The 17,450-nt window shown below is 44.3% G+C and overlaps 1 protein-coding gene across 9 annotated transcripts in view; it reads right to left on the reverse strand.

Moving 5' to 3' along the window:
• The window catches only part of ANKFY1 (ankyrin repeat and FYVE domain containing 1), a 100,159-nt gene that overhangs the window by 74,391 nt on the left and 8,318 nt on the right, over positions 1–17,450 (reverse strand). For 7 of the 9 annotated variants that reach the window (NR_047571.3, NM_001330063.2, NM_016376.5 and 4 more), the window contains exon 2: positions 4,045–4,237. Coding sequence is in view for 8 of the 9 variants with exons in the window: in NM_001330063.2 (NP_001316992.1) it covers positions 4,045–4,237 (193 nt within the window). In the remaining variant the exon portion in view is untranslated. Of the gene's footprint in view, positions 1–4,044; positions 4,238–10,878; positions 11,038–17,450 lie in introns of all 9 variants that reach the window. The other 2 variants (XM_047436224.1, XM_047436223.1) reach the window with 1 other exon arrangement.

Here is a 17,450-nt window from a genome sequence, read left to right on the forward strand (position 1 = left end):
AATTTTAAAACCTACACATCAGTCATTCCGGCTACTAAGATGTACATAAAAATACTATTTAAATCTTTCAACAAAATGCATGTTATGGGATAAAGGTATTTTTTCCCCTACGTTGGTAAAAGATGTCTGCTTTAGAAACTGATTCCTCAGTTTCAGTTACCACATCTCGACAGCTTAGTCCCCTATGAAGACTCCATTCCCTATCTGATATTTAACTGTAGATAACATAGAGTTTCAATCTTCTTTAGATAAACAGCAGGTTTTTTTTTTTTCTTTTTTTGAGATGGAGTTCACTCTTGTTGCCCAGGCTGGAGTACAGTGGCACAATCCAGGCTCACCACAACCTCCACCTCCCAGGTTCAAGCGATTCTCCTGCCTCGGCCTGCTGAGTAGCTGGGATTACAGGTGCGCGCCACCACGCTCCGCCTATTTTTGTATTTTTAGTAGAGACAGAGTTTCACCGTGTTGGTCAGGCTAGTCTCGAACTCCTGATCCGCCCAACTCAACCTCTCAAAAAGTGCTGGGATTACAGGTGTGAGCCACCACACCCAGCCTTGTTTTTTTTTTAGACAGGGTCTCACTCCATCCCCCAGGCTGGAGTGCAGTGGCACGACCTCAGCTCACTGCAACCTCCACCTTCGGGTTCAAGCAATTCTCCTGCCTCAGCCTCCTGAGTGGCTGGGATTACAGGCATGTGCCGCTACGCCCAGCTAATTTTTGTAATTTTAGTAGAGACAGAGTTTCGCCATTTGGCCAGGCTGGTGTCAAACTCCTGGCCTCAAGCAATCCACCTGCCTCAGCCTCCCAAAGTGCTGGGATTACAGGAGTGAGCCACCACGCCCGGCCTAGGGCAGGTTTTAGAAGCTGAAGGGAGACTTGTTGGGAGTCCTAAGATCATACCATAACTAGCTAAAAGGTGACAGGAAGAAAACTGCCCAGTCTCATTCCCATTGTCTCCTAGAAGGACTTCAACACAATGAATGCAAAATAAAATTACTAATCAATTGATAAGTAATTGAGAAACTAAATGATGGGCATTCTAATGGGAAAGAGCCTCAAAGAGTAGGAGAGATGTGTCTGTAACAGAAAAACATTAGGCTTCCCTGGGCCAGTAAGAAACAAAGTTTTCACTTGTTCATGGAAGAAGAGGAAAAAAAAGACGATGGATTATATTTCACAAGAAGCTACATCTATTCAATTTATGGAACTATCCTTTACTCAGAATATATACTTCCTTTTTTATGTAATAGATTATTCTTTTATTTAGAAAGGGCTAAGTTGATAGCAGTTTTGAATCCTGAGTTATTTTACTGTTATTTGCATCCTCGAAATTTTGATTTTTTTTTTAAGACAGTCTCACTCAATCACCCAGGCTGGAGTGCAGTGGCACAATCTCAGCTCACTGCAACCTCCACCTCCCAGGTTGAAGCAATTCTTCTGCCTCAACCTCCTGAGTAGCTGGGATTACAGGCGCGTGCCACCACATGTGGCTAATTTTTGTATTTTTAGTACAGACGGGGTTTCCTCATGTTGGTCAGTCTGGTCTCAAACTCCTGACCTCAGGTGATCCACCTGCCTCGGCCTCCCAAAGTGCTGGGATTACAGGTGTGAGCGATCTATTTAAAATGTCATAATTATGTGGAAATTTTACTAAGTCTTATGTAGACTGAGCTTCTATCCCCCTAGTGGCTCAAGTCCTTCCTTCTTATGTACATTCACATCTGTGTTTCTTTGCCACATCCAGCACCCCAATTCAGTCTTTCATCATTGCTGTCCTGGACTATACGCAACATCACAGGTGCTCACCCTGCTCTTTTCTCTTTACAATTTCACCTAGATGACATTAGCATGCCTTTTTTTTTTTTTTTTTTGAGACAGGGTCTCGCCCTGTTGCCCAGGCTGCCGTGCAGTGGCGCAATCTCGGCTCACTGCAACCTCCGCCTATCGAGTTCAAGCGATTCTCCTGCCTCAGCCTCTCGAGTAGCTGGGATTACAGGCGCCCGCCACCACACCTAGCTAATTTTTTTTATTTTTAGTAGAAACGGGGTTTCACCATGTTAGCCAGGCTGGTCTTAAACTCCTGACCTCAGGTGACCCGCCCGCCTTGGCCTCCTAAGTGCTGGGATTACAGGCGTAAGCCACCATGCCTGGCCAACATTAGCATGTTAATCTTTATTTATTTATTTATTTATTTTTTTAAGACAGGGTCTCTCTCTGTCTCCCAGGCTGGAGTGCAGTGGCACAATCTCAGCTCACTGCAACTTCCACCTCCCAGATTCAAGCAATTCTCCTGCCTCAGCTTCCCAAGTAGCTGGGATTACAGGCACCCACCACCACACCCAGCTAATTTTTGTAGTTTTAGTAGAGACAGGGTGCCACCTTGTTGGTCAGGCTGGTCTCAAACTCCTGACCTCAGGTGATCCATCTGCCTCGGCCTCCCAAACTGCTGGGATTACAGGCATGCGCCACTGCGCCCAGGCACATGTTAATCTTCTTAAAACGCCACCCTGATTATGACAGTCCCCAAACTGGAAAACACACAGCTTTACTTCCTAGAAGACCAAGTCCAAACTCCTCACCTGAGCATCCTAATGCAATCTACCCTGCTTTTCCCACCTCTCACTGCTCCTCTACATGGGCAAGTACCCTAAACTGGCCCCCTCCCTGTCATCTAAATCCTCTGTATTTCCTCATCTTTGAGGCTTTTCTCAGTTACTGCCCTTACTTGTAATACCACTGTCTTTACCTATTAAACCCTATCCAGCCTTTAACATCTACCTCAAAACTCACTTAATAACAAAAGCTAACATCCTGTTGCCGCTATAACCAGTGAAAACAATTTAAGTTTTAAAAAGAAAAACGACAGCTAACAACTGAGCGCTTACTATGTGCTATGCAGTGTTCCAAGTGCTGAACATGCATCTATTGATTTGATCCTCACAACAGCCCAAAGGTAAGTAGCAGCAGTAACTTCATTTGATAGATCAGGAACCTGAGGTATGTCATATAGATTGAAGTCACATAGCTAATAAGTCGCCAGCTGAGCTTCTTCTTCTTCTTCTTCTTTTTTTTTTTTTTTTTTTTTTGAGATGGAGTCTCGCTCTGTCGCCCAGGCTGGAGTGTAGTGGCACAATCTCAGCTCACTGCAAGCTCCATCTCCCGGGTTTACGCCATTCTCCTGCCTCAGCCTCCCGAGTAGCTGGGACTACAGGTGCCCACCACCATGCGCGGCGAATTTTTTATATTTTTTTGTAGAGACGGGGTTTCACCATGTTAGCCAGGATGATCTCCTGACCTCGTGATCTGCCCACCTCGGCCTCCCAAAGTGCTGGGATTATAGGCATGAGCCACCGTGCCCAGCCCTGAGCTTCTAACAGAAGCTGTATGACTCCAGAGTTCAACCTCAACCATCATGATGCACTCTCCAACTAGTTCCAAGACTGTTTTGCTTTGATCATCTCAAGAGAAACGGACCTTTGCCCTCTGAATTCCTAGACAGGTAAGTCAATTCCTGCTTGATTAGCAATGCTATCACCATGACTCCCGCACTCTTTGCTGAAGATAAGCAGTGAACGAGAGACACAAATCTTGCCTCGGGCCCGGCACGGTGGCTCACGCTTGTAATCCCAGCACTCTGGGAGGCCGAGGCAGGCGGACCATGAGGTCAGGAGACCAAGACCATCCTGGCTAACATGTTGAAACCCCGTCTCTACTAAAAATATAAAAAATTAGCCGGGCACGGTGGTGGGCACCTGTAGTCCCAGCCACTCGGGAGGCTGAGGCAAGAGAATCACTTGAACCTGGGAAGCAGAGGCTGCAATGAGCCGTGATCTCACCACTGCACTCCAGCCTGGGTAACAGAGCAGGACTCCAACTCAAAAAAAAAAAAAAAAATCTTGCCTCAAGGAGCTTCTATTCTAGGGAATCGATTTGCTAATATCCTCATTAGAGATAAATAAATTTTGGAAGAAAGTGAATGAGAAAAGCTGTAGTGTGGCCCAGGAATAAAGCCAAAGGGCCTTCTGTGTCTAGGAGCTCTCCCACCTGTACTGCTCCTGCTCGTAGAGGTCTGCCACGATGGCCAGCAGACGGCTGATGAAGGACTCGCTGCTGCTCTCCTTGTTTGCCTGCGCAGCCAAGAGAGCGCAGCGCTTCTCTGTCTCCGCCAGCTTCTTCTGCAGCTTGACATACTCCTGCCGCAGAAGCATCAAGTGCTTCTCCAACTTGGCCACCTCCTCTGCAAGGAAAACGAAGAATCAAGTTCACCGTGGCTGCTGGAAAGCAGGTGGCATTCACTAATCCCTCATCCCATAGACAGGAAAGCTCCCAAAGTGACTGGCCACTTGACCGTTCCACTCTTTCTTAGTGATAGTCCTACAGGATCAAGAATGGCTTTGACGGCTGGGTACGGTGGCTCACACCTGTAATCCCAAAACTTTGGGAGGCCAAAGCAGGGGGAATCACTTGAGCCCAGGAGTTTGAGACCATCCTGGGCAACGTACTGTCTCCACGTTTTTAAATATTCATTAAAAAGAAAAAAAAAGAATGGCTTTGTTTCAGGGTGCTGGTCACTGAACCAGGAAGACCATCATGGTTACAGGGATTTCTCCTCTCAGAAGCTCAATATTATACAGTATATGACAATGAAGAGATGTACCTAAAGATGCTGACAGGCACTTGCCCCACAAAATCCTTCACCATAAAGCCAGGAATTCTCCAGGAGAAAAGGCTACCAAAATCACCTAGATTTTTTGAAACCACTAACAGTAACAACAATTTCCTAATTTTCACATGTTCTTCTAAATGCTTTACATAAATTCCCTCATTTAATCTCTCTCTCTTTTTTTGTTTTTTGTTTGTTTGTTTGTTTGTTTGAGACAGAGTCTTGCTCTGTCATGAGGCTGGAGTGCAGTGGTGCGATCTGGGCTCACTGCAACCTCCGCCTCCTGGGTTCAAGCGATTCTCCTGCCTCAGCCTCCTGAGTAGCTGGGACTACAGGCACATGCCACCATGCCCAGCTCATTTTTTGTATTTTTAGTAGAGATGGGGTTTCACCATGTTGGCCAGGATGGTCTCAAACTCCAGACCTTGTGATCCACCCACCTCGGCCTCCCAAAGTGTCGGGAGTACAGGCATGAGCTACCGCGCCCAGCCTCTTTTTTTTTTTAAACAGATGAGGGTCTCACTATGTTGCCCAGGCTAGACTCAAACTCCTGGACTCAACTGTTCCCCCTGCCTCAGCCTCCCACAGCTGGGACCACAGGCACATCCCACTGTGCCCAGCTTCATGTCATCTTCATGACAAGCCTATGAGGTAGGTACTGCTGTATACCAGCCCCATTTTATAGAGGAGGACACTGGGACACAGGGAGGTTACAGATTTCCCCTGAGTTGCAAGGCTGGTGAGAGGACGGGCTGGGATCTGAGCCCAACATTCTTATTCCAGGGTCTGTAATCATATGAACTATGCTCTCCAACCCTGGCACCTATCCTCCTTCAGGTGAGGATCAGGGCAGTCAATAATGGTTCAGATGGAGGCATGCCATCTTCCGCAGGTGCGCTGGGGCAGGTTAAAAGGTTGAGAACCACCGTATTTGATTAACTAAATTCAACAAGCATTTATCAGTGTTCACGAGGCGCTGGGCGCTGCACGATGGTAAGTGCACTCTGACATACCTGTCACTGGAGCCCTGAGTTACTGAGAAAAACAAAGATAAACAATTTTTTTTTTTTTTTTGAGACAGAGTCTCACTCTGTCGCCTGGGCTAGAGTGCAGTGGCACAATCTTGGCTTACTGCAACCTCCGTCTCCTGGGTTCAAGCGATTCTCCTCCTTCAACCTCCCAAGCAGCTGGGATGACAGGTGGGCACCACCACGCCCAGCTAATTTTTGTATTTTTAGTAGAGACAGGGTTTTGCCATGTTGGCCAGGCTGGTCTCAGACTCCTGGCCTCAAGTGATCCACCCACCTTGGCCTCCCAAACTGCTGGCATTGTAGGCATGAGCTACCATGCCCAGCCATAAGTCAAATAACTTTTGTTATAATTTATAATTAAAATAATTACAACAGTCAAATGCAAAATTACAACTCTACATTAGAGAGCTAGAAGGTAAAAACAGCTATGAGAGCCTATAAAGCAAGTTAATGGAAAAGGTCAGGAAAGGCTTCCCTGAGGAAGCCGTCATGAAACTTCTCCTTCACCTGAGCTCTGGAGTCTTGAGAAGGGATGAGATAGGGGGTTTATGCAACCATGCAAACTGGCAGCTTTATCAATCAAGGTCTCTACGGCTCCACACTGCTGCTACAATCATCCTCCGGGCCTTGGTCCCTTCACCCCTCCCTCTTCCACATCACAGACATTCCAAATCTTGACACTGCCCTCAAGCCCATCTCCCATCCAACCTGCCTCATTCCATGCCAACACCCTGAGAAAACTGAGCTACTGCCAATAACTCCCACCATCCCAGCAATGATTCCCATCTCCCCTTTGCTTCCTCAGAAAGGGTATCTCCTTCCTACCCAAGTTTAATCCCCCATGTGCTCCCTAAATCTGATCGCTCTCCTCGATCCTCAGGACCTTTCTTTATCATCAACCACCCCATCTCCGAACTCCAGTCTCTCTTTCACCTGGGTCCTGCTAGTCAGCATACGAGCCAGTTTAAGTCTCTTATCTATTAAAGCATCCCACTTCCACATCACATCTGAAATCCTCAGCCCCGCCATCTCTAGCTACCATACACCACTGTCTCACCTGCCATTCCCTCTTCTGTCCCCACCATCCCCTTGAAACTCCTCTCACCTATGACCCTCTAGTTGCCAAGTCCAATGGACTCCTGCCAGTGGTTCTCCTCCTAGACCTCTGACACCACATTGCACTGTTGTCCATCCCTTCTCTTACTCCAGCAACCACAATACCATCCTCTGATTCTGGTTCTCTGTCTCTTTCACGTGCTTCCCTGCATCCTTTCCCAATCTTTTCTTTTTCTTTTTAAAGAAATAGGGTCTCTGTCACTCAGCCTGGAGCGCAGTGGCACAATCCTAGCTCATCACAGCCTCAAACTCCTGAACTCAAACTCCTGAAACTCCTGAACTCAAGTGATCTTCCCACCTCAGCCTCGAGAGTAGCTAGGACTACAGGTGCTTACCACCATGCCTGGCTACATTTTAAACTTTCTGTAGAGATGGGGTATCACTATGTTGCCAGGCCTGGTCTCAAACTCCTGGGCTCAAGTGATCCTCCTGACAGCCTCCCTAGTACCTGGGACCACAAGTGTGTGCCATCACACCTGGCTATAAATTTTTAAGTTTTTTGGAGAGATGGGCCTTGCTATGTTGCCAGGGCTACGTTGTCTTGCACTCCCAGGCTCAAGCGACCCACCTGCCTCTGCCTCCAGAGTAGCTAGGACCAGAGGTGTCCATACTTGGGAGGCTGAGGCAGGAGGATCCCCTTGAGCCTAGGAGGTTCAGGCTGCAAAGAGCCGAGATTGTGCCACTGTACTCCAGCCTGGACAACAGAGCAAGACCCTGTCTCAAAAAAAAAAAAAAAAAAACAACCAGCCAGGTCTGGTGGCTCATGCCTGTAATCCCAGCACTTTGGGAGGCTGAGGCGGGCAGATCATGAGGTCAGTTCAAGATCAGTCTGGCCAATATGGTGAAACCCCATCTCTACTAAAAATACAAAAATTATCTGGGTGTGGTGGCACACAACTGTAGTCCCAGCCACTCAGGAGGCTGAGGCAGAAGAATCGCTGGAACCCAGGAGGTGAAGGTTGCAGTGAGCCAAGATCGTGCCACTGCACTCCAGCCTGGGTGACAGAGGACAGTCCGTCTCAAAAAACAAACAACAACAACAAAAAACAACCAAAGAAAAAAAATTATGAGTAATAGAGAAGACAGGCAATTAAGCCAACGCAGTAAACCCTGAGAGCACTCTGATAGGGGATACAAATGGAGTGTGGCAGGAGACCTCCTGGTTTAAGCTAGTGTAAAGAAAATGTTCCAGAAAAGTAGTATCTTACTTCAAAAGATTTAAATAAAGCCTGTATTTGTTTGTAGCATACTGGACCCAGAAAATGCAAGAGAAGGTTTCGATCTTTTATTTTCTTGGTCAGATTCTCCTTTTAAGCTTGTATCAGTCAACAGATTTGTCAAACAGACAAAGTACATAAACACAGTATATTTCTCTACGAGAAATACAAATAATTATGAGCCCAAGCCTCGCCCTCTCCTCCAAGAGTTCACTGACAATAGTATCAGCCACTCACCAGATGCTATGCAAGTCAGCTGAAAAGGATGGCTATAGTATATACCACATCTTGCTAGTTCAACCTGGTGGCTACAAAATTATATCCCACTTGCCAAGAGACAGCCCCCAAGTTTCCACAGTGGTAACCTTTTCTTCCATAAGCAACCTGAACCCTCTAACCTTGGTTTCAATCACACCATATTCTAGCCAACCTAAATCTTTTGCTCCTCAAGACCTCCAACCCAGCATGACTATAGCTGGCTGGGGAATTTCCATTTCCATTTCACTTAAACTGTTGATCTGCAAATATTTATGCATTAAGCATTTTGGCAGATTAGGAGGTGCCTCTTTTAAGAGTTAAAAGGGCAATCTAGGCTGGGTGTGGTGTTTCACACCTGTAATCCCAGCACTTTGTGGGTCCCAGGCAGGAGGATCTCTAAAGCCCATGAGTTTGAGACCAGCCTGGGCAACATGGTGAAACCCCGTCTCTACAAAAAAATACAAAAATGAGCCAGGGGTGGTAGTGGGCACCGGTAGTCCCAGCTACTCAGGAGGCTGAGGCAGAAGGCTCGCTTGAGCCTGGTAGGACGTAGAGGTTGTGGTGAGCTGAGATCGCACCACTGACTCCAGCCTGGGTGACAGAGAGAGACCCTGTCTTAAAAAAAAAAAAGAGAGAAAAAGAAAAAGAAAAAAAAATGACTGCAAAGTTGCTGATTCCTCTATCTAAGCCTTCAAATGGAGGAGATCCTGAAAGCTCTGTTTCAGCCATCTTCCCCCTCTCTGCTCTCTAGGAAACCATACACATTTCCTTAAATATCAGTTATACACATAAATTCCAAAATCTACAGCAACAGCCCCAGTCTCTCTACAGAATTCCTGATTCAAATATGTAGCAGCTGCCTGGACAATGACACAAGATATAAACTACCAAGGTAATGAGCAGAGAAGAAGCTAGATAAAAGGAGGGCTTTAGCATGATTTGGGGCTCTTAGTCACAAAATTACAGATGCTCCCCCACCCGGCAGCTTTTGTCGGGGGAAACCCAAAGGATCACTAATGCACTCAGGCAGCTTATGAGCACTTACCAGCGCTACTTCAATTGCCATACCATTTCACAGTATAATGGAGGAGTGCTTATGGCTGAGACATTACCAGCCCGTGGGGAATACTGTCTGCTTACAAACAGCAATGCAAATGTGTCCTTGAAGTGTCACCAAGCTGTACAGTTCTTACAAGAAAAAGTACAACATTATTCTGAGCAAAATGGAGAGAGAATTTACAGTGTGCAGGTTCTAGGGCCAGACTGACTGGGATCAAGCCCAGCCCCACTACTGCCTAGTTTTGATACACCTTAGGCAGGTGACTCATTCTCTTCACCTGCAAGGATGTTGTAAACACTGAAAGTACTAATACATGTAATAACCTTAGAATACAACCTGCTCTGCAGTAGGTGGTCAAAATATATTAGCTATTATTACAATTCTTAGAAAGGCAACCCGGGGTAGTCAGTCCTGTGTTGCAAGATTCTCCCTGCACACTGATAGCCCAGAGCTCGCATTCCAGAGTCTCACTGACTGGGTTTGACCCCAGCTTACCCATTTACTAGCTGTGTGACCTTGGGCAAGTTACTTACTTCCTCTCTGTGCTTCAGTCTTCTCACATGGAAAATGAGACTAATGATACTATCTTAGAGCAGGTGTCCCCGACCTCCAGGCCGTGGACGGGTACTAGTTTGTGGCATGTTAGGAACTGGGCCACACCCAGCAGGAGGTGAGCTGCGGGCGAGTCAGCATGACCACCTGAGCTCCGCCTCCTGTGAGATCAGCAGCAGCATTAGATTCTCACAGGAGCGTGAACCCTCCTGTGAACCGCGCATGCGAGGGATCTAGGTTGCATGCTCCTTATGAGACTCCAGTGCCTGATGATCTGAGGTGGAACAGTTTCATCCTGAAACTACTCCCTTCCCTACCCCATCTATGGACAAACTGTCTTCCACGAAACCAGTCTCTGGTGCCAAAAAGATTGGGGACCACTGTCAGAGAAGTACGTGTAAAGTCATTAGGATAGGTTAAATCACTCGGAACAGTGTCTGGTTTAGTAAGGCTTACCGCTGCTGCTACTCCTCTGCCTACTTATTCTTCATCAAGTGACCAGTTTTCAGCCGTGGTTTTTTCTTTGTCCCCTTCCAACTTTCATTTGAAAAGCAAGCCTAGAAATTTAATTAGCCGGGCATGGTGGCGCATGCCTGTAGTCCCAGAGATGATGCCACTGCATTCCAGCCTGGGTGACAGAGCAAGACTCTGTCTCAAAAAAGGAGAGGAGAGAGGAGAGGAGAGCAAACCTAGAAATTTAAATAATAGATAAAACCTAGAGTTTCACCAAAAAAGCTACGCTAAGTATCAGTGAAGAATGCCAGAAACTTCCAATTTTCTCATATTTCTTTCCAAATAATACCTATCTGTTCTCCATGAGTGCAGTCTATGATCAGACTTTCAATAAGTATTCTTTCTGATAGTTCATCACTCTTGAGTTAACAAAACATGCTTAAGACAAAAAAATCTTCATTCATTACAAATAGCCTAAAATAAAGAGTGCAATGTCTACTGCAAAAAAGTAGTTAATCAGCAAATTACCTCTTCAGAAGTTATATGGCACAGTCAGAAGAGAAACCAAGAATGATTTTTAGAACACTCTTCCTTCTAGGTCAGGAGTTGGCATACTTTCCGTACAGGGCCACATAGCAAATATTTTAGGCTTTGGGAGCCATACAGTCTCTGGGGCACTACTCAACTCTGCCAGTTGGAACACAAAAGTACAAATTAATGAATGTGGCTGTTTCCCTAAAAATACTTTATTTATGAACACTGAAAATGGAATTTCATATAATTTTCACATCATGATACATTGTTTTGATTTTTCTTCAACCAGGTTAAAATATTTAAAATATAGTTAATATTTATAAGTTATTTTTATATGTTACATCTATAACATATAAATAAATTCTTAGCTTAAGGACTGCATAAAAACAAGTCGACAGGTCTCAGGTCAGATTTGGCTGAGAGGCCATACAAGCCCTGTCCCCCTGCTGGTGATTTTAAAGAATTAGAACGTTAAAATGACAGCCAGAGCCAAATGAAAAGGGAAGAAAGCAGTTTATCTATCTGGAACACCTAGAATTCTGTAACCTCTCACTTCTTACCAAACTCTAATCCACAACAGCAGCCACTGCATCTTCAAGATATGCCTGTCTCCAAGCTTACCTCCTCACCCTCAGAAACAGGCTCACAGTAATGCCTCCCACCCCTAGACAAACATCTCTTCTCCACAGTTATGCTCTTGACTGCGCAGTCTATCATACACTTTGCCTTCTCCACCCATTTCTTAAGAGTCCTCTTTGGTCACTACTTCCTGCCTTACCTCCCTAACCTTCTGAAACTTGGCTTCAACCCACATCACTCTACTAAATAGTCACAATGATCAAATCACCCACTTTGATGACCTTTTCCTTATTCTTCAAGCTCCTCAACCTCTCTGTAGCCTCCGACTCTCAACCACCCCATTCTTAAAACTCTTGTTTTGGCTTCCTAACTCTGTACTCTAGCTTTCTTCCTAACCTTGTTACAGACCCTTCACCTCCTATTCTGACTACCCACTTTCTAAAACGGCACAGTGCTGCAAGGTGCAGACCTACATCTGAACTTTTTCTAAATTTTCTTCCCTGAACATGGTCTCATGCATACCCATACTTTACTGTCACTGCTATAAAAATGGACCCAAATCTCTCTTTCCTTCAACAGCTCCTGCTGAAAGAATGACTGACTGCTACTATAAACTCGACAAGTCCAAAATCAAACTTCATATCTTCCTCAAATCAAAGTCTTCTTCCTACTTCATTTCATGTTATCAAAGCTCTAGGTTACCAATGTACGGGCTATGATAATGCATTTTTAATAGTATACCAAACATACAAAATATTTAGAGATAAACTTAACAAAATGTGCAATGCATGCACACTGAAACTATAAAAACACTGCTGACAGAAATGAAAGGCAACCTAAATAAACAGAGAGTTATATACTACGCTCATGGATTGGAAGGCTCAATAGCTCAATATTGTTAAGATGTCAGGTCTCTCCAAATTGGTCTATAGATCCAATACCTTCCCAATAAAAATCCCAGCAAACTGTGTTTGTAGAATTTGAAAGAATGATTCTAATTTTTTTTTCTTAGAAACAGGGTCTCCCTCTGTCACCCAGGCTGGGGTGCAGTGTCCTGATCATAACTCACTGCAGCCTCGAACTCCTAGGCTCAAACAGCTAGAACTACAGGTGAGCACCACCACATCTGGCCAATTTTTTTGTAGAGACAGGGTCTCAGTATGGCGCCCAAGCTGGTCTTGAACTCCTGGCCTCAAGGGATCCTCCCACTTTGGTCTTTTAAACTGCTGGGATTACATGCATGCATAACCACAGACAGCTGATTCTAAAATTTGGGTGGAAATGCAAAGTTCCTAGAATAGCCAAAAAAATTCTGGGCAGGGGAAAGAAAAAGGTTTAGCATTTACCTGACTCAAGGCTGTGTATAAAGCTACAGTAAATAGGACAGCATCAAACTGGCATCAAGATAGATATCCAGAGCAATGGAAAATAACAGAATCCAGGAATAGACTTTGACTTATACAAATGATCTGACAATGGTGTGAAGGCATTTCAATGAGGAAAGAACAATGGGACCAGAACAATTGGAGATCCATATGAAAACGCAAATCCCTATTCCTAGACACCACTACATATAAAAACTAACTCAAAATCACATATCTAAACGTAAGGGTTAAAACTGTAGCCCTTCTAGAGTCAGATGAAGTCCCAGCTACTCAGGAGGCTGGGGAGGAAGGATCACTTGAGCTCAGGAGTTTGAGGCTATAAAGCACTATGATCACATCTGTGAATAGCCACTGCACTCCAGCCTGGGAAACCCCATCTTCCTGTCTCTTTAAAAACAAAAACAAAAAGAAAACAATTTTTAAAAATGAGCTTCAAATCATTGACAGGTAAAATTTTTAAAAATTAAATAAAAATTAAAAAAAAAAAAAACAAAAACTACAGAACTTCCAGACTAAAACATAGCAAAAATCTTAGTGACCTCAGATTAAACAAAGATAAACTGTTAAAAAAAAATTACAGAAGAAACATGGCTAAATTTGACTTTACCAAATTTTAAAAACTGTTCTTGAAAAGTCATAAAAAAATAAAAAGGCAAGCCACAGACTGGGAGAAAATATGTGCAAAACATCCAACAAAAAACGCCTCATTCCCAGCCTGTAATCCCAGCACTTTGGGAGGCCAAGGTGGATGGATCACTTGAGGTCAGGAGTTTGAGACCAGCCTGGCCAACATGGCAAAACCCCGTCTCTACAAAAACACAAAAATTAGCTGGGTGCAGTGGCGTGCGCCTGTAGTCCCAGCTACTAGGGAGGATGAGGCAGGGGAATCACTTGAATCCGGGAGACAGAGGTTGCAGTGAGCTGAGATCATACCACTGCACTCAACCCTGGGCAACAGAACGAGACTCCGTCTTAAAAAAAAAAAAAAAAAAAGACTTGTATACAGATTATATTAAGAACTCTTACAGCTCAATAAGACAACCCGATAAAAAAGAGCAAAAAAACTGGAGAGTTCACCAAACAAGATAAATGTACAGTAAATAAGCACATGAAAAGATGTGCATCATTAGTAATTAAGATGCAAATTGAAATCACAATGAAATACCACTACACACCTACTAGTATGGCTAAAATTAAAAAGTTATGGCAAAGATCTGGAGAACTAGGCCAAGCGCAGTGGTTCACACCTATAATCCCAAAAGTTTGGAAGGCTGAGGCGGGAGAACAGCTTGAAGCTAGGAGTTTGAGAACAGCTGGGCAACAGAGTGAGACCCCCGTCTCCACAAAAAAATTTTAAAAATTAGCCAAGTGTGGTGGTGTGCACCTGCAGTCCTAGCCACTTGAGAGGCTGAGATGGAAGGACTGCTTGAGCCCAGGAGTTCGAGGCTGCAGTGAGCTATGATCATACCACTGCACCCCAGCCTGGGTAACAAAAAACAAACAAACAAAAAAAAAATTGGAGAACTAGAAGCTAGAAGCCTGATACATTGCTAATGGAAATGCAAAATGGCATAACCATTCTGGAAAACAGTTTGATGGTTTCTTATAAAGCTAAACATATACTTGCCTTATGGCCAACAATTCCACTCCCAGTTATTTCCTCAAAATAAACACAAAGAATTCTATTTAAATGTTCAATGAAGCTTTATTCATAACAACTGGAAACAACCGGAATGTCCAGCTGGTAAACAGACACAACTGTCACACATCCATATAATGGAAGAGCACTCAGCAATAAAACAGAAGGGACTGATACCAGACACATGAGGTACAGATGTATCTCAAAAGCAATATGCTACGTGAAAGGAGCCAGGCAAAAAAGACTACATACTGTATGACCCCATATGAAAGTGTAGTTTCATAGTAGGCAAACCAGGATCACTTGAGGTCAGGAGTTCGAGACCAGCCTGGCCAACATGGTGAAACCCTGTCTGTACTAAAAATACAAAAATTAGCCGGACCAGGGTGGCACACACTTGTAATCCCAGCTACTTGGGAGGCTGAGGCAGGAGAATCGCTTGAACCCAGGAGGCAGAGGATGCAGTGAGCTGAGATCAAGCCACTGCACTCCAGCCTGGGCGACAGAGCCAGACTCCATCTCAACAACAACAACAACAACAACAAACCATACTAGGCAAACTATAGCAAGAGAAAGCAAATCAGTGATTGCCAGAAGCCAGGGGAATGGGACTGACTGCAAAGGAGGTCAAGGGAACTTTTTACGGTGATAGAAATCTTCTAGCATGATTGTGCTGGTGGTTATATGACTGTATATATTTGTCAACTGACAGTTTAAATTGGTACATTTTATTGTTTGTCAATTACACCTCAATAAATCTAACAACAAACTCCTTCCTCTGGGATGTACCGTGACATCTTTCTATTCCTTGCTGATCACACCAACATTTCCTTGAGGCCTTAGCATCATTCCTGTTGCCCTTCTCATCCTTCTACTTCTCTATTCTATCCCACACACATCGTTATTAATCTTCCTAAAACACAGCTCACCTAACCAAACAATTTCAGCTGGTTCCCCACTGTCTACAAAAGTACCAGTTTCCTAATGTGGCATTCTGATTCACTGAAGAAGTTTCTTGAGCCCAGAAACCATCTTATTCACTTCACTGGTAGTATCTTGAACCATGTGGCATGCGTGGTCTTTGAGCATTCAGAAACTGCACACAGAGGAATTTCAGACATCTTCTGACTTAATAAACTACACGACTTTACCTACCATGGCAGGCAGAAAAATGACACCCCCATAAGATACTAATATCCTAATCCCTGGAACCTGGGAATGTTACCTTATATGACAACAACAACAACAACTAAGTGTCTCTGCATTGACCAAAACATCATTATGCAGCACGTAACTGTTCATGTATCCTTGTAAGAGGGAGCAGGGGCTGGCCGCGGTGGCTCACGCCTGTAATCCCAGCACTTTGAGAAGCCAAGGTAGGCAGATCACGAGGTCAGGAGATCAAGACCATCCCGGCTAACACGGTGAAACCCCATCTCTACTAAAAATACAAAAATTAGCCAGGTGTGGTGGCAGGCGCCTGTAGTCCCAGCTACTCGGGAGGCTGAGGCAGGAGAATCGCCTGAACCTGGGAGGCGGAGGTTGCAATGAGCCAAGATCGCACCACTGCACTCCAGCCTGGACCACAGAGTGAGACTCCATCTCAAAAAAAAAAAAAAAAAAAAAAAAAAAAAAGGAAGGCACAGAGGGAGTCTGACCCACTCAGAGTAGGTCTTGTGAACACAGAACAGAGAGAAATTTGAAGATGCTGTCCTTGAAGACTGGAATGATGCAGCCAATAGCCAAGGAATGTCAGCAGCCTCTTGCAGGTGGAAGAATCAGGAAAAAGATTTTCTCCTAGAGCCTCCAGAGGGAATAGGGCCCTACTGAGACCTTGATTTGAGCCCAGTGATACTGATTTCAATCAGACTTCTGTCATCCAGAATCATAAGAACACGTTTCTGTTGTTTTAAGCCATCTAGCTTGTGGAAATCTGTTACAGCAGCCACATGAAACTAAAACACCTATACTTACAAACAAAAAATTCTGTATAGTAAAAGATTTTAATGCCCTAGTAACTTTTTGCTAGATTAGTGTCAACATCATTCTATGGAGTAAAAGGAAATGTACACTTTCCTGTAATATTTTGCAATAAGACAGAAAGTGGGAATTAATATTTTTTATGTCTCCTATGGCAGTTAAGTTCTTCACATTCATCATCTCAGATTCTAACTATATTGAAAAAGTAATATACTAACAGTGAAACTCACTTAAGTGAGTTGCCTAAAATCACACAATTAGCAGAAGACAGACTCAAGATTTGTGGTCTTAAGCCAGAACGCATCCCATTAACACCATGATGCCAGATTTCAGCTCCAGTATCAGAACACCAAGATTAGTCATTAATTAATCCAGGAATTAAATGAGCTCCTTCATTTCCTATAGTAAATGCACTCTACTCCCCTCCAGCCACTCCAGTTCTAACCCACACTGTATTCAGTCTTTCTAGATTCACATCACCCTGGCATTTCCTTTCTCTACACTCCTATAGTTCTTCTATTCTAGCCAAAACTTTAGCAATGAATTAGTGTTCTTCATGTAATTCTTTTTTTTTTTTTTTTTTTTTGAGACAAGAGTTTCTCTTGTCGCCCAGACTGGAGTGCAATGGTGTGATCTTGGCTCATGGCAACCTCTGCCTCCCGGGTTCAAGCAATCCTCCTGCCTCAGCCTCCTGAAGCAGCTGAGATTACAGGCGCCTGCCACCATGCCCAGCTAATTTTTTTGTATTCTTAGCAGAGACAGGATTTCGCCATGTTGGCCAGGCTGGTCTTGAACTCCTGACCTGAGGTGATCCCCTGGCCTCGGCCTCCCAAAGTGCTGGGATTACAGGCATAAGCCACCGTGCCCAGTCTCTTCATGTAATTCTTTAATGACTAAATGACTTTATACCTATTCTGCTTTAACTATGTCCATTAGATAAAAGAGAAATGATTGTAAAGGCTGTGATAACATTCTATTTGGAG

This window comes from Homo sapiens, chromosome 17, assembly GCF_000001405.40.
Source record: "Homo sapiens chromosome 17, GRCh38.p14 Primary Assembly".
Lineage (NCBI taxonomy): Eukaryota > Metazoa > Chordata > Mammalia > Primates > Hominidae > Homo > Homo sapiens.